At 38.3% G+C, this 22221-nt stretch overlaps 1 protein-coding gene across 4 annotated transcripts in view; it reads left to right on the top strand.

Moving 5' to 3' along the window:
- Positions 1-6348, top strand: part of ASB5 (ankyrin repeat and SOCS box containing 5) — a 63852-nt gene extending 57504 nt beyond the window's left edge. For all 4 annotated transcript variants that reach the window (XM_005262759.2, NM_080874.4, XM_011531617.4 and 1 more), the window contains 2 exons: positions 3012-3203; positions 4294-6348. In XM_005262759.2, coding sequence (XP_005262816.1) covers positions 3012-3203; positions 4294-4421 — 320 coding nt within the window. In that variant the 3' untranslated portion in view covers positions 4422-6348. The remainder of the gene's footprint in view (positions 1-3011; positions 3204-4293) is intronic.
- The last annotated feature ends 15873 nt before the right edge of the window (positions 6349-22221 follow it).

The following is a 22221-nucleotide window of genomic DNA, read 5'->3' as shown; positions in this document are numbered from 1 at the left end:
CAGCTATCATTAGTGTTAGTGTATTATATGTGTGGCCCAAGACAATTCTTCTTCTTCCAGTGTGGCCAAGGGAAACCAAACGATTGGACACCCCTGCTTTAGAGCCTTTCATTCCTTTGCTAGAAATATTATTCTTTCCACCAAACATTTTATACTGGGTTTTAAAATATATGGGCCTGTAATCCCAGCACTTTGGAAGGCCTAGGCAAGTGGATCACTTGAGGTCAGGAGTTTGAGACCAGCCTGGCCAACATAGTGAAACCCTGTCTCTATTAAAAATACAAAAATTAGCTAGGCATGGTGGCATGTGCCTGTAGTCCCAGCTGCTCGAGAGGCTGAGGCAACTTGAACCCGGGAGGTGGAGGTAACAGTGAGCCGAGATCGTGCCACTGTACTCCAGCCTATATATATATATATATATATATATATATATATATATATATATCATACAAATATATACATATTTATATATCATACATATATATATTTATATATCATACAAATATATATATTTATATATCATACAAATATATATATTTATATATCATACAAATATATATATTTATATATCATACAAATATATATATTTATATATCATACATATATATATTTATATATCATACAAATATATATATTTATATATCATACAAATATATATATTTATATATCATACAAATATATATATTTATATATCATACAAATATATATATTTATATATCATACAAATATATATATTTATATATCATACAAATATATATTTATATATCATACATATATATTTATATATCATACAAATATATATATTTATCTGTCATACAAATATATATATTTATATGTCATACAAATATATATTTATATGTCATACAAATATATATTTATATATCATACAAATATATATATCATACAAATATATATATATATTTATATATCATACAAATATATATATATTTATATATCATACAAATATATATATTTATATATCATACAAATATATATTTATATATCATACATATATATTTATATATCATACAAATATATATATTTATATATCATACAAATATATATTTATATATCATACATATATATTTATATATCATACAAATATATATATTTATATATCATACAAATATATATATTTATATATCATACAAATATATATATTTATATATCATACAAATATATATTTATATATCATACATATATATTTATATATCATACAAATATATATATTTATATATCATACAAATATATATATTTATATATCATACAAATATATATATTTATATATCATACAAATGTATATATCATACAAATATATATATATTTATATATCATACAAATATATATATATTTATATATCATACAAATATATATATTTATATATCATACAAATATATATTTATATATCATACATATATATTTATATATCATACAAATATATATATTTATATATCATACAAATATATATATCATACAAATATATATATTTATATATCATACAAATATATATATCATACAAATATATATATTTATATATCATACAAATATATATATATTTATATATCATACAAATATATATATTTATATATCATACAAATATATATATTTATATATCATACAAATATATATTTATATATCATACATATATATTTATATATCATACAAATATATATTTATATATCATACAAATATATATATCATACAAATATATATATTTATATATCATACAAATATATATATATTTATATATCATACAAATATATATATATTTATATATCATACAAATATATATATATTTATATCATACAAATATATATATTTATATATCATACAAATATATATATTTATATATCATACAAATGTATATATTTATATATCATACAAATATATATATATAGAAATTACTGTTAGTAATTGTTGATTGATTGTTATTTTCAGACCCTTTTCTTCCATAAAATTGACATAACCAACAAAGTTTATGCTTTCTTTATGGAAATTTTGTTATGGAATATAATTTTTTCACGAAACATTTTATATTTGTTTTAAAAATATTGAAAATGATTACATTTATTGAAATTTGAAAGGAGCAGAAGGGCCATAAAGGGACACTTTAACTGTACTGCTTCATGAAGACATCATTAGTTTTAAAGATAGTATCGGAAAACAGAGTTGAAAAGAACTTATGCATTTTTATTGGTAGACATTTCTGGTATTGTAACCGTTTATGTACCAGAAAATGGGATGGTTATTTTTAACAGTACTAAACAGCATTTATTTATTGCAAATGCATTGAATGACCAGCATGTGCCAGGCTTTGCACTGGGATAAAGTAAGTGTGCAATAGGTAATGTAGCATGTAGGCTGTATTTTAACATAAGCATTTTTAAAAGCTTTCCTTTCATGCAGATATCATCAATGTGCCTTTTGATTTAAAAGGCTCAATATCTTTATATACTTACTGACTTAAACTACATAAGTGAGAAATGGCAGGAAAATCTATATACATTTTACCTAAATAGCTCACATATTCATGAGTTTCCCAAGAAAACCAAAGAGCTTCATTGCCTTAAATAAATGAAAAGAATAATAGAAATAAGCACCTGAATAATTCTAAAAGCTATCAACCATGATGAAAATAAAAATGAGTGAACTTAATTGTGCACTCTTTATAATAGTAGTTAGTATGGTTACTTTTGGAATCATTTAAAAGTTAAAAAGAATTTTATTATGATAGTTCAAGCATACAGAAAAGTATCAGAGAGTCACATAACAAATGTATGTACCCTCTGCCATTCAGATGTGCCCAGTTTATATATATGTATATGTACATATGAGGCATATATGTGTATGTAGATACTGTATATGTATATAAAGAAATAACTCATAACAAATAGAGTTGAAGTCCCCTTAATAACCTTCCTCTATTGCCTTTCCTTTTCTATCCCCACTGAGGCAGCTGGCTTATTTAACAACTTTTATTTATATTTATCTTCACTCCGTATTACATGTAGGTGCTGACGTACAGAAAGGCAAATATTGGGATACTCCATTACATGCTGCTGCTCAACAATCCAGCACAGAAATTGTAAACTTACTGCTAGAATTTGGAGCAGATATCAATGCCAAAAATACAGAGCTTCTGCGACCTATAGATGTAGCTACGTCTAGCAGTATGGTGGAAAGGATATTGCTTCAACATGAAGGTAAGAAAAATACATGTGGAAACTTACAAAAACAAAATATATTTGCCTAAAATAGATGAAAGTGAGAGAGTTTTTGTTGGCATGGAAAGTAACAATGGCATAAAATGTGGAATATTATTTGTGAAAGTAGATGATTTTTAACTTAGGTTTTATCTATAAAGAAGATATCAGCCGAGTGTGGTGGCTCACACCTGTAATCCCAGCACTTTGGGAGGCCAAGGCGGGTGGATCACAAGGTCAAGAGATCAAGGCCATCCTGGCCAACATGGTGAAACCCTGTCTCTACTAAAAACACAAAAATTAGCTGGGCATGGTGGTGCGTGCCTGTAATCTCAGCTACTCAGGAGGCTGCGGAAGGAGAATCACTTGAACCCGGGAGGCGGAGGTTGCAGTGAGCCAGGATTACGCCACTGCACTCCAACCTGGCAACAGAGTGAGACTCCATCTAAAAAAAAGAAAAAAAATGATAATTTTAATTTTCTCTTTCATCTTACCTAAACTCTCATATATTTTTGGTTAAATATATTCAATTAGTTTCAGTAATGCATTATATGCACTTCTGGTATAATATCTGCTGATTTATATTTGGAGCATGCCCCATTTTATAAGGACATGAACCTTCTATAACATATTATAGAAATAAAATTAGTAAATATTTTTACATTTGAGACTTTTGTTCTAAAATAGGATTTCTTAATCCTAGTCCAGGGACTATAATATTTCTTTTAGGGTAAATATTAAACTTAATTTTAAAATTTCCCCTTTTAGTGCATAATACTTCTCAGGACTTTTGATTTATATCTCCTTCAAAAAGCAGACTTTGTTTCTGAGGCTTTAAATTCAACAATTATTTCCTAAGCCTGAGGATTATAATATTTTAAGGAATGTATATGGAATATATCTCAATTATAATAAGATCTTATAAATAAAAGCAATATAACTGCTTACATAAATTTCCCTAGTATAGTGGTCATGCTATCCTAGGTTTACTACAAAGCATTGTAGTTTTTATGGTTTTATGTTATGTACCTTACAACATAAAAAATTCATTTCTATTTTAATTAACAAATAGATTCATGTCTTCTTGTAGCTACCCCAAGCTCTCTTTACCAACTTTGCCGACTCTGTATCCGAAGCTACATAGGAAAACCAAGATTGCACCTTATCCCACAACTCCAGCTGCCAACGTTACTGAAGAATTTCTTACAGTATCGATAAAACAGTAAAGTAATTCTAAATACCTTGAAAATCAAAATTTCTATTTCTTTTGCTTAAGGAATAGTTCATATAAAAATATGCTAAAGATAGGATAAAAGTGAGTGTGAGATCACCCAGGGAAGCAGTAAAATATCAATTTTCATTTTAAGTGTATTAGTACTATTGTTTTATCATTTATGCTGTCTTTGGATTATAGCATATTTATAATATCTATTTTTTGTTATTTCAATATACCCTCCTGTTTATTCAGGAAAAAATAATAAAGTCACTATCTTATGTTTTCTTTTGGATTGGAAAGAAATAAAGCTCCTAGTAAAGTTATTCATATTATATTTAAAAAGGTCTATGTTCTTCAACTAATGGGTTAACTTTTTAATTTTGGCTATTGTAATTGGCTAACTTGTTACTGATATTGACATAAAATATGAATATGGCTTAGCAAAGAGCAACTAATATGTTTTCTGAAACCAGGATGATGCTCATTCAGGAAATCCACTATGTTGAATGTCCACTGGTCATTAGAATGAACACTTCATAAAGATAAATTGCCCCCCTCTCCCCCACTTACCCCTGGCAAAGGACTCACAAGTCACTTCTCTTCTCCATAGTACATGGACTTGTTACAGAAAAGTGATAGGATGAAAGGTCAATACTGCCCTCTCACCCTGAGATATTTAGAACATTACACACCTTCTAAGGCTATGTTAAGACTGCCTCCTTCTCAGGAGTAGCCCCTGATGATCTCTTATCAAGGCGGTTATATGCATATTACTCCAGCCTTCTTCCATTTCAGAAATTGTCAATAGCTAGTGATACTTGGACTTAAGAAAATGAACTATATATCTAATTAACAAACAGGCCCTGGATCATATTCCGGGGATCATCACATCAGTCCAAGGATATAAAAAAATGGAAGATTAAAAACTCAAATTGTGGAGTTTTTAAAGAGTGGGTGCCACTTAACACATTGGAGACCTTAAAAAATGTATATAGAGAACTTAATCGCACTGTTTCTAATTCTTTTTACACAAAACAAGGGCTTAGAGTATACTGTATTTGCAAGTAATAGCAAGAGAGTATTGTATAAAAGAAGATATTACTAAGCTAGTCCTCTGCAAGGGTAAATACTACGTTTATTCTCTTCAGCTTTAACTATACTTGAGTGCAATAAAAAACTTAATAAAATTTTATGCCTGTTTTGTAATTCAGGGCCTATTATGATTTTAGAAATAAGATAATCAACGTACAACTCTTTGTAAAACAAAAGCAACTTTGGGTGAGTTTTATAGATTTATTAAATTTTGATAAAGTAAATATTTTGACCACTATTTTCAACAACCCAGGGCTTATTTTCTTCTGACTTCTTGGCTAACTTCCAGACTATGGGAAAATAAATTATGATTGTATGTGACCCCCAGATCACTAAGCTTGCATTTTGGCAGAAAGAAAAAAAATCAGTTGTGATTTAAAACGTTTGTTGAGATTTTCAAACATAGAAATAAAGCTGTAGCATATTCACTAAACAATGTTTTATATGAGGATAGGGACCTTTAAATATGTGTTTTATAGAATATCTCACACATTTGTAATGGATAACGTGCATTAAAATGGAGTTCTTATTATAGAATAACCTGGTTAAACAGATATTAAAGCTGCTTTTGGGTAAAACAGGTTTCCACCAGTATTTTCCCTGAGCTAGAGGAGAAGTCTTAGATTTTAAGAGTAATACAACCCATCTATCTTATTAGTCTTGTGCCAATAAGAGAAGTAAATATCAAACATTAAAATGGTCACTTTACAATTTCAGTATGTCTGTACCTTGTATCTTAGCTTGAGTATGATTGTCTTATCAAAGTAGTGTTCTAACTTTAATGTATTGTATGTTTGTTATTATATTAAAGTGTGATTATTATTCATTGGAATAAAACACTTTGTGTTTGTCTCATTATTTTATTTTATAATGAAAAGTCATGGAGTGACTCAGTTGCACTAATTTTTTTCACCACCAGTTTCCAAATCACTGAATCATGAGCATTAAGATAGAGTAGCACAGAATAAAAAATAGATACCTCAAAGACCTTCTAATCCAAGACATATTTTATATATATGTGACATATAATACATATAATATATGTGATATTTAATACATATAATATACATATATACATATATGTATACACACACATTAAAGTTCAAGGACAAAATTTCACAAAGTAAAAGAAACAAAATAGTTACTATGTGACATAAGATTTAAGAAATTTAGTAAAACAATAACTGTAGATAGACACTGTTGAAACAATTTTTTTGGATTAAAAAAGTAATTAAATTCTATTGTTTTAATAACCACAGCATATATTTGGTGTTTCTGAGAAAGTAAATAGATATGTAGTAGAAAAGAAAGGCCTCTTCAGAGTAGAAGGTTTTCTTTGTTCCATCATAGCACTGAGCTCAACTGACTAGTGATCCAGCTACAAAATAACTTAAAAATTATCCTTTCCCTTGGATTATTCCCACTTTTTTACTTCAGTTTCTCTGTTATTCTTATTATCATTTAGAATTTACTTTATTTTAAGGTTAGCCCTTTCTCTTAAAAACCTAACTGAACTTTCTCACAGTTTCAAGATTGATGGAAGAAAATTTATTAAGAAAATTCAGTGCATTACTAGCTCTTCATCTGCCCCATGACCTTAAGCAAATCATTTCATTTCAGCTGTGTAGGTCTCTATTGGGGGAATCTGCCCCAATATTTCAATGTAGGTTCTTTCTATTTTCCATAAGTATCGGCCAGCTGAGGAATAAAGAGAGACACTACAAAGAGAGGAATTTTACAGCTGGGCCTCCAGGGGTGACATCACATATTGGTAGGACTGTGATGCTCGCCTGAGTCTCAGACCAGCAAGTTTTTATTAAGGGTTTCAAGAGGGGAGGGGGTGTAAGAACAGGGAGTAGATCACATGTTTCAAAGGGCAAAAAGGAGAACTACTGATAAGGGTCTAACAAAGATCACAAGGCAAAGGGCAAAAGCAGAACTACTGATTAGGGTCTGTGTTCAGTGGTGCACATATTGTCATGATAAACATCTTAAACAACAGAAAACAGAGTTCGAGAGCAGAGAACCAGTCTGACCACAAATTTACCATGGCAGAGGTTTTCCCCACCCTAGTAAGCTTGAGGGTACTGCAGGAGACCAGGGTGTATTTCAGTCCTTATCTCAACTGCATAAGACAGACATTCCCAGAGCGGCCATTTATAGACCTCCTCCCAGGAATGCATTCCTTTCCCAGGGTATTAATATTAATACTCCTTGCTAGGAAAAGAATTTAGCGATATCTTCCCTACTTGCTCATCTGTTTATAGGCTCTCTGCAAGAAGAAAAATATGGCTCTTTTTGCCCGACCCCGCAGGCAGTCAGACCTTATAGTTGTCTTCCCTTGTTCCCTAAAAATCGTTGTTATTCTGTTCTTTTTCAAGGGGTACTGATCTCATTTTGTTCAAACACATGTTTTACAATCAATTTGTACAGTTAACACAATTATCACAGTGGTCCTGAGGTGACGTACACCCTCAGCTTATGAAGATAACAGGATTAAGAGATTAAAGTAAAGACAGGCAAAAGAAATTATAAAAGTATTATTTGGGAACTGATAAATGTCCATGAAATCTTCACAATTTATGTTCCTCTGCTGCGGCTCCAGTCAGTCCCTCCATTTGGGGTCCCTGACTTCCCACAACGCGTCTCAGTTTTCTCTTTTTTTTTTTTTTGAGACAGAGTCTCAAATCTCAGCTCACTGCAACCTCTGCCTCTTGGGTTCAAGCGATTGTCCTGCCTCAACCTCCTGAGTAGCTGGGATTACAGGTGTGTGTCACCACACTTGGCTACTTTTTGTATGTTTTGTAGAGACAGGGTTTCACTATGTTGGCCAGGCTGGTCTTGGACTCCTGACCTCAAGTAATCCACCTGCCTTGGCCTCCCAAAATGCTGGGATGGCAGGCATGAGCCACCGCATCCAGCCAGTTTTCACATTTTTTAAATATAGGTTTCCTTCCCATTTTCAGTTCTGTGTTCAATTTCATTGAGTCTTTTAATAAGGGTGAGGGAGTTCAAATACATTTTAAAAATTATTTTTTGGTTTATGAAAAACATATTGCATGTACAAATTTTATAAATTACATGTTCAGGTTTGCAAAAAAGTTTGTTTCATTATTCTGAACAGAATTTAATTTTTACTCCAAGCTTCCTTTTCACCAAGTGAAATCAGGAAATTCCTGGATAAACTCAGTCAATTCAGTGTTTTCTCAGTCTCTTCAAGTAAACTTTTCAGTCAATTCAAAGCTCTGCCCACCCCACCCCCCACCCCCCCCAACTCCTGTGCCATTTCTTCCTGGAATGACATCTAAATTCCAGAAGACGTCTGTGAAATCCAATTTCTGGTGGGAGCATGCATATGCTCTTGTCCTCTGGGAGACTCGAGTGTGTCAGGAGAGTTAGGCGGGTGATATGGGGCAGTGATTAGGTGACAGATCACAGAGGGCTTTTGCACTGATTTAAGAAAGCTCCTGCTGGGCGTGGTGTGCACCTGTAGTCCCAGCTACACAGGAGGAATGAGGCAGGAGGATCACTTGAGCCCAGGAGTTGAGGCTGCAGTGAGCTATGACCACATCACTGCACTTCAGCGTAAGACCCTGTCTCAAATAGAAAGAAAGAAAGAACAAGAAAGAAGAAAGAACGAATGAATAAATAAATAAGAGAGAAAGAAAAGAAAGAGGAAAGAAAGAAGAAAGAAACGAAAGAGAAAGGAAAGAAGCAGGAGAAAAAGAAGAAAAAGAAAGAAGAGAAAGAAAGAAAGGGAAGGTAAGGGAAGAAAGGAAGAAAGAAAGAAAGAAGGAAAGTTCCTAATGTGAAAGTCAAAACACAGACTAGATCCTCCCAGAGCTCATTTTCCCTCCTTGCCACTGCAAATGCTGTTCCCTCTGCCTGGAACACATCCTTCTCCATGGTCTGTCTTAATAACTGCTGCATTACCACCAACAATTAGCTAAAAAATCACTCTTCCAAGAAACCTTCCTCACCCTCCTCCCAGCCAAACCTTCCTCACCATCCCCCAGTCTGGGTTGCATATCCATCTATTCTCTTTGGAACCCTGTGCAGGCCTCTTCTAATCACATCCCTAGTACTACAGAACAAATTTTTATTTGCTTGTCTGCCTCCTGCGTAGGCTGTGAGTTTACTGTAGGTGGAACTGTGTCATGTTCACAACTCCCTCCTCATCAGTCAAAGATTCATCTACATTTCCTTCCCCTTAAAGGCCATCACATGCTTCTTCAATTAGCTTGAAACACAAAAGTTATTTTCTTCTCTGCCCACAAGGGATGTGTGTGATTGTATGCGGAAAGATAGCACCCTTTCTCCTAGAGTGGGAACAAGAGAAAGGAGATGTTAAACTAATTCAGCGGCTTTGGCTTCCTTGATCAGTCTCCCTACTGCAAAGATTGAAGTTAAGTCTTCGTGGGTAAAGAGAGTGGCTCTATTATTTGGCGTGGAGACATCTGTGGAGTTAGGAACCCGGATCCAGGTCCTTTGGGACAGTTACCACTGAGCTCTCCCTCAATCCCCCTCCACTGGGCAATGTTAGATGACAATCCCTTCCACAATGGGTGGAATCTGGGACTTAGGGTTAGAATGCAACCCAAATTCTACAATCAGACAAGACCGGCTTTCTCAAACACACTAATAAAAAGAAATCCACCCAAAAGTTACTCATCTTTACTGAACAAAATATGTCTTAAAAATCTGTCACACCTACAGCCACTGCCAAGTCCAGCACGTGCAATGTGAATCATGTACCACCCGCTTCATAGATGCTTGGGCATCTCCCCCAAGAGCAGACGACAGGCAGGCAGGTGGCTTGTGGTGTGTGGCAGGGGTTTGAAAGACAAGCTGGGACAAGGAGGTGCTCTGATGTAAAGTGCTGAAAAATTAAACATCCCATAAAGCACTTACCAGAGAGATATGAGACATAACAAATGATATGAAATGGAAATGCCATAACAATAAGATTGTGGAGGCATGAGAAAGAAAGAGACCCAGAGAGCCACAGATGTATGCCAAAGGCATAGAAAGTGGAACTGCTGTCTCTAAGGACAGATTTTTCAAAGACTTTCCTTGTTCACCTGCCTGACCCTCCACCCGTCTGAAGCAGCCCAACCTGAGGCCAATTGCCACAGCAGCAGAAGTAGGAGGATCACAGAACTTTCAGAATCATGGAGAATCATGGAACTTTCAGAGCTGGCAGGATATCCGAAGAGATGAGCACTAAACATGAACTCTTTGGCACTTCATTCAGATAACACCCAATTCCCTCCAATTATGATAAAGAATATCAGCGAGTTTCTACTGGACGAAACAAAAAGAGATAACTAAAATATACAAGTAATTGGCCAGGCATGGTGGCTTATGCTTGTAATCCCAGCACTTTGAGAAGCCGAGGCGGGCAGATCACGAGGTCAAGAGATCAAGACCATCCTGGCCAACATGGTGAAACCCCATCTCTAGTACAAATACAAAAATTAGCCAGGCGTGGTGGCACGCACCTGTAGTCCCAGCTACTCAGGAGGCTGAGGCAGAAGAACTGCTTGAATTCAGGAGGTGGAGGTTGCAGTGAGTGGCATCAAACCAAATCATATTCCCTTAAGGCCTGAAGGAAACAGAGGAACAGGAGTAGATAGCTTGCAACATATTGACAATAATTCCTCCCGTGCAGTCTTTTGCAATGTCACTTGCCTTCTCCTCCCAACAAGAGGAGCGGGCACGTTACCCATGTCTTGCATTTGGATGGGTCCTGTCTCTTTCTGTGACTAAGACATGGAGTAGCGTGATGTTGGGTTAATTTCAAGCCTAGGCCTCAAGAGACCTTGAAGCTTCTAATTTTATCCTCGTGGAAGACTGAGATACATCTGCTAAGATACACCTGCTTAACTGGTCTTAAGCCAGCAAAAAATTATCAACAGAGATAGAAAGGCTCAATCTCTCTATTGTCATTGTCCTTGTGAGACTGGACCCTAGACAACCAGGTCTAAGAACAGAGTGAGCCACCACGCCTGGGTAGATGGTCATTTTTAGCATGTCCAAAATATCTGTACTAAAGATGGGAGAAAGCAGGAATAAAAACATGATATAACCTATTACAGAAATATTTATCTTGGGAAGGAAATTAATGCTTTTCTCCTGTGCTAATCCCACATGGTCCCTCCTATAAAGGCAAATTCATGGATATCTAAAGGAATAGCCCAGAGGGAAGACATGCTCCCATTGTGCAAACACTATTTTGGGATTCATTACCTGCTTCACGAGCTCTGTCATGGAGGTTCCTTTTATGGGTTATATAGAACAATTTACAGTAACTAATTAAAATATTTAAAAGGAATTTCATAAGTCCAAGCAGCCAAAGTGCGTCTTGATGGGGAATGTAAGCACTGAGGTGAATCGCGTGCCCTAGGAAGGGAGCTGGCAGCTATGCCTCTGCAGTTGATGCAAATAAGGGTGACTCTTACTGCCAACACTCATTATCTTTATAGCTCCAGAGATAAGGCAATTAAAAGCTTGAATCTGGTGAGGTCAGAGCTCTAAAATCTCTGTCTCTTGCAGGCCAGTGATGTAACTTTTTTTTTTTTTAAGACCGGGTCTTGATCTGTCTCCCAGGCTGGAGTGCAAAGGTGCAATCTCTGCTCACTGCAACCTCCACCTCCCGGGTTCAAGTGATTCTCCTGACTCAGCCTCCTGAGTAGCTGGGATTACAAGTGCCTGCCACGATGTACAGCTAATTTTTGTATTTTTTAGAAGAGATGGGCTTTTGCCATGTTGGCCAGGCTGGTCTAGATCTCTTGCTCTTAGGTGATCCACCCACCTTGGCCTCACAAAGTGCTGGGATTACCGGTGTGAGCCACCATGCCCAGCCCAGTAGTGTAACTTTTTAAAGCCAATATATCAGGATCTTTACTTTTGATATCCTCTCAAAGGAATTGCTCAAGAGAGAACTTTAGAGAATATAAATGCCCTACACATACAGAAGAAAACATCCAGTGGAATTGCTGTCCTAAGTGGATTCATGCAGGCTGCATGATGAAGGGCTGTGACTGGCTGCACATTCGTTCCAATCACAAGGTGGGTGGGATAGCAACTTTCTTCCATTTTTCTTCTTCCATATGGAGGGAGCTCCACAAGCACAGCATCCCCAGGCTCTGTCCTCACTCCCCCAGTCCTTGTCCTCCATCCCTGCCACCTGCAGCACCCCTCACCTCACAACAGAGGGGAGGGATGAATGGAATTGGTTAACTGGAAGAAGGGAGCATGCATAGCCCCTTCTTCTCCCTACCTGATCTGAGCTACCCACAGGGGGCAAGTAAAACTGATGCAGTCCAGTTCCTAAAAACCAGAGGTATTAGTGTTTTTGTGCCAGAACACTAACAGCACGCTAGAGAACTAACCAATGAAGATTCCCAAAGACTCAAGGAAGAAAAGGATGGGGGTTTTGGTGGGCATAAGACTTGACATCAAACAGGAGAAGATCGAGAGGATCAGAAAAGAGATCCCTTATTGATCCAGAGTAGAAGAAGTAGTCAGTCAGGATATTCGATATCAGGACAGGTTTCTACAGGGAGGACCCTGTAAAAATATTCAACATGAGTAGTGTAGGGAGAGAATATGTGAAATGAGAGGAATGAGGAACAAGGCTGCTTCCCTGCAGGAGTAGCCCAGGGTATATCATACGGCAGGAAAGACCTTCAAACTTGCTTTATCATGGCGTAAGCATACCTGATAGAACAAAGGGAATAAAGACTTGGAGAAAATAGTGTTTTCCAAGCTCCCTTTACCGATATACAAGATGGAATTAACCACACCAGGCTTTTAAAAAGAAAGAATTGGGTTTTATGGAGGTGCTGGGGGATACTGTGGAAGGAAGCAGGGACTCCATCTCTCCCTCTCCCATACTTGTGCTTAGGCTGGATTCTTAGTCACTTCTTTCCCCTAAATGGATGAAGCTAGCCTTCTGGACATCATTCGTCATCTTTTGGGCCCCTAACTTCAGTTGGTCATTAAAGAGGAGTTTTGAAAATGAAGTCAGTGCACCTTAGCAGTTCCATATATGGCAAAGATTTCTTCTTCTTCTAGTTGCTCCTCCCTCAACCCCATTCTCCTCTGTTCTCATGATAATAAGGAGGAGCTTCATCATGCTGGGTCCCCTATCTCCAAAGGCAGTAGCTGACTGCACACTGATCCTGTCTGCAAGGCGGGCAGGATGGCATCTTTCTCCCGTTCCTATTTTACTCTCCCATGTGTAGGGACCCCCACTAGCACATTACTCCAGGGCTCTGTCCTCACTCCCCCAGCCCCATCCTCCATAACTGCCACCTGCAGCAGTCCCCAACCCTACAAGAGAGGGAGCCACTGAATGGGATTGGTTAACTGGAAGGAGAACTGAGCGTGCATAGCCCCTTCCTCTCCCTACCTGGTCTGAGCTGCCACAGGGAACAAATGCTCTGTTCTGCTTCTCTATAACCATGTATTTGACAGCAGCTGATTCTGCCTGCATCCAGGTCCCACAAGCCTGTGACTAGGAGAGGCTTCATTCTACACCTGGAGTTGAATACTAGGAAGATGCTTGCCCATGGACATAAGCACCTTCTCAAATAACAACTCCATCAGTGACAGATTTGAGGGTTTTTTTTTTTCCCAACTGCTTTGATCTTTTGTCTTACTGAGAATTGTTTCAGATCTCAGGAGGGAAGGGAGCATGTTTTTGAGACTCTTTATAGTTCAACAGAGTAGCTTACTCCTAAGACCTGTTCATGATAAGCGGGGCCAGCTTTGCATTAACTCTGTCATCTAGCTGCAGTGATGGTTAGTAATAGCAGGAAGTAAAATATTCATAAGGTCTGCAACTATGTGTATAATTTCAACCTTTGCTTATCACAGTTCACACTGTCCATAAATGCACATGCTGTTCTCCTTTCTCCACCTCCCGAGGTGGGATAAGTGTCTGTGGAGCTCAGTTCTAACGTTGCCTGCCCATCCCCCGCCTTCCATCCTTAGGTATGTGAGGGCCGCCCTCTTCCTTTCATTGTGTTCTCCTTGGAGACTTCACAGGAATCCACACCATCTGCTCACAGCCCCATCCTCACCTTGGAGTCCCCATCTCCCACTCAGCAGTACACTTTTGCAAGTTTGAGTTAATCTAAAACAGAATATCTCAACCTCCACATTATGGACATTTGGAACCAGATACTTCTCATTGTGTGAGACTGTCCAGTGCACTGTCGCATGTCCAGCAGCGGCCCTGGCCTTCACCCACCAGGTATCAGCAATCTGCTCCCTCCCCCAAGTTGTCAGCACCCCACCCTGTCCCCTCTCCCTCCAGTCGTGACAAACAAGGTGTCCCTAGACATTGTCAAATGTCCCTTGGGGCCAAATTTACCCCACTGAGAGCCACAAATGTAGAGTAATCTTTCAGTGACTTCATTAGAACAGACTTAATTCCTTTGATATGCAAACAACTGAGGACATATTTGCTGTGTGCAGACAGGTATTAAAGGAAGTGTGGATTTACAGTATCACTGAAGAATGGGGCCAACTATATAACTGGTTCCAAGCATGGACCCCCTCTAGGCAACGAGCCTCCCAGGTTGCACAGCTTGCACACCTCAGAGACCAGGCCTGCAAGCCTGGGTTGGACTTAGACATTCAGAAGCTGTTGGGGCTTGTGACCTCCCTGCCAGTGTGACAATAAGAAATATTTTCCTAACTACCTTATAATTTTTGAGGTATCTCTCTCAAAGTGAAGTCAGTACTTCTCATCATTATGTTTCAAATTATTCTGTAGAACCATATTCATTATGTACATAATGACACATTGGCTAAGGTAAAACATTACTCCTTGTAAGGAAGAACTCAATTTAATTGTCAGCCAAATGGTCCCTGTCTAAGGAAATGAAAGACAGTAATTTTACCCTTTGAGTCACATTCTCTCTGAAAAAACAAAAAAACAAAAAAAAAAAAAAAAAAGGATTATTTTTTTAAATCTCACAAACTTTCTTCTTGAGTTGTATAGGACAAATTATATGATCAACATGCTTTTTTTCCATGCCTCTTTATTAACACTTCAGCTGGGGACTCAGCTGCAAGGCCCCACACTAAGAGGAGCCCCATGCTTGCTTTTACGGATCTGCTATCACCTTGAAATTCTTAATTTTTGGTCAAGAAGCCCACATTTGTATTTTGCACTTTGCCTTACAAATTACATAGCTAGTCTTATTCTGTTGTGCATGCACCAGCTCATACACTGGTACGTGACATCCATCTGGAGGGAAGTTGTCCTCTTTTGTTAAATCAGATGGAAATGACTTAGGTAATTCCTTTACCCTATCCTGGGACTTAACACAGCTAGAGGGAAAAGGTCACACTTGGAAGGCAAAAAGCAGCAAGAAAAAAGCTAACTTTTCTCCTTGAGAATGTAACTTCTCCCTCTACTCTCTTGAATCCTTTGTGGGAAAATTACCTGCATCAAACCAAATCATATTCCATTAAGACTTGAAGGAAACAGAGGAACAGGAGTAGATTGCTTGCAAAATATTGACAATAATTCCTCCTGTGCAGTCTTTTGCAATGTCACTTGCCTTCTCCTCCCAACAAGAGGAGTGGACATGTTACCCATGTCTTGCATTTGGATGGGTCCTGTCTCTTTCTGTGACTAAGACATGGAGTAGCGTGATGTTGGGTTAATTTCGAGGCTAGCCCTCAAGAGACCTTGCAGCTTCTGATTTCATCCTTGTGGAAGCCTGAGACCACCATGTGAAAAAGGGATGAGAAACCATGTGGAGTGAGAAGCCCACCAACAGCCAGCACCATCTGCCAAGGATATGAGTGAGACCCTCCTAGACGGCGCAGCCCAGGTTGAGTCACAGAGAAGTGAAGCCTCATGAGGGACCTCAAGCACAACCAGCAGAACTGCCTGAGTTCAGCCCAAATGCTGTCCCACATCATTGTGAGAAACAAAATTTGTTGCTGATTGATTGATGCCACTATGTTTTTGAATGATTCAACAATGGATAACCAATAAGAAACAGATACTTTCTACTGCGGTGTTATGAATATTTTTCCATCTTATTTCTTCTTTTCACTCCACAGTTCCTGCATTTCCTGGTCTTGTAAGGAAGTGAAAGGGACCCCCTACGTTTCTGTGTGGGATATTCAACATCTGTGATTGGCGGCTATATTGACTGAAGGTAGGAGGACAGCCTTCCCATTAGCAAGAAGTGTTTTTAATGTAACCCCTTTATTCTTCCAGTTACATACGATCAAAATTCTGAGTTAACAAACCAGGCGAGAAAAGAGCAAAAGTATAAATAAATGCAGTTACTGAAGATAAAATATTTCCTACCTAGAATCCCCCAAGTTGAGTGTATGGTTGAATTTTCAAGGAAAAGCTAAAGGAAGTTTTTCTTATCTCCTCACACGCTGCACATCCAAAAGGATGAGCCCCCCCCCTTTTAAAAAGAGGTTTCTAATCACAGCTGAGATGACTCACACCCACACTTTCTAAATATCCCACGTGCCCTCTGCTTTCCTGGGACTCTCACACAGGTAGGATGAGACTTCATGACGGACAAGAGTGGAAGTGACATGTGTCCCCTGCAGCCTAGGAGACTTAAGAGCCAGTGTATATCCTCCATCTCCCTTCAAAACAGCAACTGCAGAGGCCACATGTTCTGGGCAGTGCTGTCTGCACCAGCCTAGATTCCTGCAGGCGGAAAATTCCCCTCCTCACTGCCCCAGAGTAGGCGGGCAATGTCAGGAAGAGATAAACCCATGGCGTGTTAAGCCACTGAGATTTCTGAGTTTGTTTGTTTTAGTTATGATTACTTGCCTTGACTAATATATTAATTTTTTTATGTTTTAACTTTTTTGCGTTTTTTTTTTTTTTTTTTTGAGACTGAGTCTTACTCTTGTCACCCAGGCTGGAGTGCAATGGCACGATCTCGGCTTACTGTAACCTCTGCCTCCCTAGTTCAAGCAATTCTCCTGCCTCAGCCCCCTGAGTAGCTGAGATTACAGATGCCCGAACCACGCCCAGCTGATTTTTGTATTTTTAGTAGAAACAGGGTTTCACTATGTTGGCCAGGCTGGTCTCGAACTCCTGACCTCAGGTGATCTGCTCCCCTTGGCCTCCCAAAGTGCTGGGATTTCAGGCATGAGCCACCGCGCCCGGCCTATGTTTTAATTTTCTATGGTCATTATACAAGATCCAGTGGCCTCACATATTGCCCATCACTTCGTCTCTTTGTAGCTCTTAGATTCATCCCTATACAAACTCACAGTATAATCAGAAAGGTTTAATTTTATCTCTGTGTATTTGTAGAGAGAGAAAGATATCTGTTCCTATCAGTTTTCATTTGTAAAGTGACATTATAGCTCACTATAGTTATTATCAATTGTAACCGACTTGATCTTTAGCTGAAGTTACAATTATATTAGTGAACATTATCAACAGTTTCATCTATACAGATAGAGACATGAAGTTGCCAAATACATTTTTAATACATTATTGAGGAAAATGCTTCTAATATGCACCTGGCTTGAATCTGATAGAGTAAATTACATTAAGTGGAGATAAACAACCAAGACTCTACATTACTTAGCTTCAAAATCAGTCAAATCAGAGTTTAAGGGCTGGGCGCCATGGCTCACACCTTTAATCCCAGTGCTTTGGGAGGCCAAGGCAGGAGGATGGCTTGAGGCTAGGAGTATAAGACCATCCTGGGCAACATAGTGAGACCCTGTCTTTACAGAAAATTTTCAAAATTTACCAGGCATGGTGGTATGCACCTGTAGTCCCAGCTACTCAGGAGGCTGAGGCAGGAGGATTGTTTGAACTCAGGAGTTCAAGGTTACAATGAACTATGATATGATTGTGCCACTGTACTCCAGCCTGGGTGACAGAACGAGACCCTGTCTCTAAAAAACAAAAATAAAAATGAAGTTTAATATCTGAGATATCAAGACATTTAAGTAAATGATTGAATCTTGTAGTCATTTTTTTTTTGAGACAGGGTCTCACTATGTTGCCCCAGCTGGAATTTAGTGGCACAATTATGGTTCACTGCAGTCTCAACTTCCCAGGCTATAGCGATCCTCCTTCCTTAGTCTCCCAAGTAGCGGAGACTACAGGTGTGCACCACCATGCCTGGTTAACTTTTTTTCAATTTTTTGTAGAGATGGAGGTCTCACTATGTTGCTTAGGTTAGCCTCAAACTCCTGGGTTCAAGTGGTCCTCCTGCCTCGGCCTCCCAACATGCTGGGATTAAAGGTGTGAGCCATCGCACTTGGCCTTGTAGTCGCTTTTTAAGAATTTGATACCAATATTGAGTATAAAATATTTAAATAGTAATTTAAGTAGATGTAGTCTTATTTAAGTTTATAGTTATGATTGCCTAAATATCGACCATATTTTCAATTCATATGTTTAGTGTACTGCATTCTTATTGCTACGCCTTTCAACTTAGAAAAACTGTTCAGAGTTGGTATGAGTGTTAAAATTATTTCCTCCATCAGGAGTGCCTTAGAATCTGGGCCAGAGCCTCTCAGTATAGCCACTTCTGAAAAACCACAGTCTGATGATAATTATGAAATACTATTTTGCTCTATGATGAGACTCCTCAAGAAGTTAAGCTTAAATACAGATGAAGACAGAAGCAGTTCAATGCTGCAACCAAAACGGGGAGTAAAGATCAGGAAATGGAAATGGATTTGTAATGCTTTTTGGTATACCCATCCATTTTGAGTTGTTTGCATTTCTGTGCATCTTGCAAGCAGATGCCCTGGCAGCTTTTGTTTCAGAACATCTTTTTAAAGATGTTCATATAGTGAACAGTGTTAAAAAATATAGTATCTTCCTTCAGAGGAGACTGCAGGTTTGTTTACTGACCAGTATCGTAAGAACAATGTTTCCCTCCAGGGCAAAGATTTGGCAGTTTTCCTTGCAGCCCATTATAAAAGACTGGGCTTCCCTAAGGTTGGGATTCCTCAGCTGTGATGTAAACCCATGGTGTGTGAGGCTTCCACCTCAGCCTCTTCACGTCATCCCGAGACACCTGTGGGCAAGAAGTACTAGCATGAACAGAGCTCACGCTGCTTCCTATGCTGTGAGCTGTAAAGTCTGTTTGGCTTATGCAGGTTAGAGGAATCCTAATGAATGAGTGTGGATTACTGTAGACTTAATTAACTCCAATTACAGCTGCTTTTCCATTGGAAGTGTCTTTTTTTTTATTTTTTATTTTTTATTTTTATTTTTTAGATGGAGTCTCACTCTATCACCCAGACTGGAGTGCAGTGGCATGATCTTGGCTCACTGCAACCTCCACCTTCCAGGTTCAAGCAATTCTCCTGCCTCAGCCTTCCGAGTAGCTGGGACCACAGGTGCATGCCACCACACTTGGATAATTTTTGTATTTTTAGTAGAGAAGGGGGTTTCACCATGTTGGCCAGGCTGGTCTCAAACTCCTGACCTCAAATGATCCACCCGCCTCGGCCTCCCAAAGGGCTAAATTATAGGTGTGAGCCACCTCACCTGGCCTGAAGTGTCTTTACTGGAATGAATTTCTACAGTCCCCAGCAAATGTTATTCTGCTGTTAATCTGGAATGTACTTTTTCCTCTCCATAACAGTCTGCGAAAACCACCAAAAGCAGTTTGCTTTTATCTATCAGGATCTATAGCACACATTCAAGCTATTGCCTTAGGTTCAGATCAATTTTCTTGCTCTTTGCCACAAGATTGGCAGAGATTTTTGAGTGTCTTAACATGTCATAGAACATCACACTAGTCCACTATATTGATGATATCCTGCTGAGTCGACCTCATGAACAGGAAGAAGCAAGTTCCTTAGATACTTTAGAAAGATGCAGGTGAGCTAGTGGTAGAGAAAAACCTCACTCCAGGTACCAAGCAATATGTCATTCAGCATCCAATCAGGAAAACAGAACTAATTCCAGGTATTCAACAGCAAGAATTTTAACAGCTGATCCTTGAACAACATTAAGATTAGGGGGACCGACGTCCTGCATGGTAGAAAACCCAACTGTAGACTCCCCAAAGACATAACTATTAATAGCCTACTGTTGGAAGTCTTACCAATAACATAAACATCAATTAACACATATTTTGTGTGATATATATTATGTACTGTATTCTTACAATAAAGTAAGCTAGAGAAAAGAAAATGTTATTAAGAAAATCATAAAGAAGCGAAAATATATTAACTATTCATTAAGTGGAAGTGGATCGTCAGAAAGGTCTTCATCCTTGTCTTCACACTGAGTAGGCTGAGGAGACGGAGGAAGAGGAGGGATTGGTCCTGCTGTCTTGGGGTTGGCAGAGGTGGAAGAAAATCCACATATTAGTGGGCCCGTGCAGTTCCAAATCCTGTGGTTCAAACCTGCATCGGCTTTATAAGGAACTGGTGGTGTTGAAGAACCGAAAAACTAAAATGGGACCATCAAATTAACACAGAGCTAGACACTTCAGGAAGCAATTACCACCCCCAGGGAAGAAGTTGAAGTTATAAGAACGTAAGAGTTGGAGGCTTAAGAGCCTCAAGACTTAGACTTGAGGATGGGGCGTACACAGCTGGTGCTAATACTTCAGGAGCTCACATGAGCTGTCCGAGAGTAAAATTGGGTCTCAGACTTCCAAGGAGGGCCACTTCTTGGTGGTTGCTAAAACCTCGGAGAGAATATGATGAAACTTGCACCAGGAGTGCTAAACAAACAAACCAACCAACCAACCATACTGGAGACTGGAACCAATTGCCCCGGCCAGGTGAAGCTTTGTTGCCATGGTTACACAGGGGCTTGAACAGCAAGCAGAGAAATAGCAAATCCCTGCTCCCCACCTCCTGGCCACTCTCTCACTCCCCATATTGGCAGAATTTACCATCCACCCAGCAAAGGAGAAAATGCCGCAGCGTTCCAACTCCGGCATCACAGAACTGAGAACAGAGAAGGGAGTGTTTCTAACAGGGATGTATTTGCTTAACAATTGGCACACTGATTACAGGAAGATTTCCAACTCTTTAGCAAAACTGTTTACAATTAAGCCCCAATCTAGCTGGGCGTGGTGGCTCATGCCTGTAATTGCTGCACTTTGGAAGGCCAAGGCTGGAGGATTGATTCCTCAAGCCCACAAGTTCAAGACCCGTCTTTATAAAAAATTTAAAAACTGACCAATCATTGTGGTTTGCACCTGTAGTCCCAGCTACTTGGGAGGCTGAGATGAGAGGCTGGGGTGGGAGGTTCACTTGAGTCCAGGAGGTCAAGGCTGCAGTGAGCCCTGAGCACGCCACCGCACTCCAGCCTGCGCAACAGCATGACTCTGTCTCAAAAACAAAAACAAATAAACCCTAACCTATAGATCTAACCTACCTCTCTAGCCATTATCATCTAAACCTTTGGTTGACAATGTCTCTTTGGTTGATAATGCCTAAACACTTTCTCTAACCCTAATGGGTTCTGTTCTTTCCTAAAACTCATTTAAAAAACCCCTCATATTTCTATGCAATTGCTCCCATTAGTCACTCTGTGTGAGATTGCCCCTTCATCATCCAAATAAATTTCCAAGATCACCTTTGAAGCAATCATCTATGCTTACTGAGCACTACGTGCTGCACATTGTTTTAGGCTCTTTATAGATTTCACTTATTTAATCTCTACAGCTCTGTGGTGTATCCTATTTATTTCCATATTTTACAAAT

This window comes from Homo sapiens, chromosome 4 (genome assembly GCF_000001405.40).
Source record: "Homo sapiens chromosome 4, GRCh38.p14 Primary Assembly".
In the NCBI taxonomy this organism is placed as follows: Eukaryota; Metazoa; Chordata; class Mammalia; order Primates; family Hominidae; genus Homo; species Homo sapiens.
This window is presented reverse-complemented; position numbering and strand designations above follow the sequence as displayed.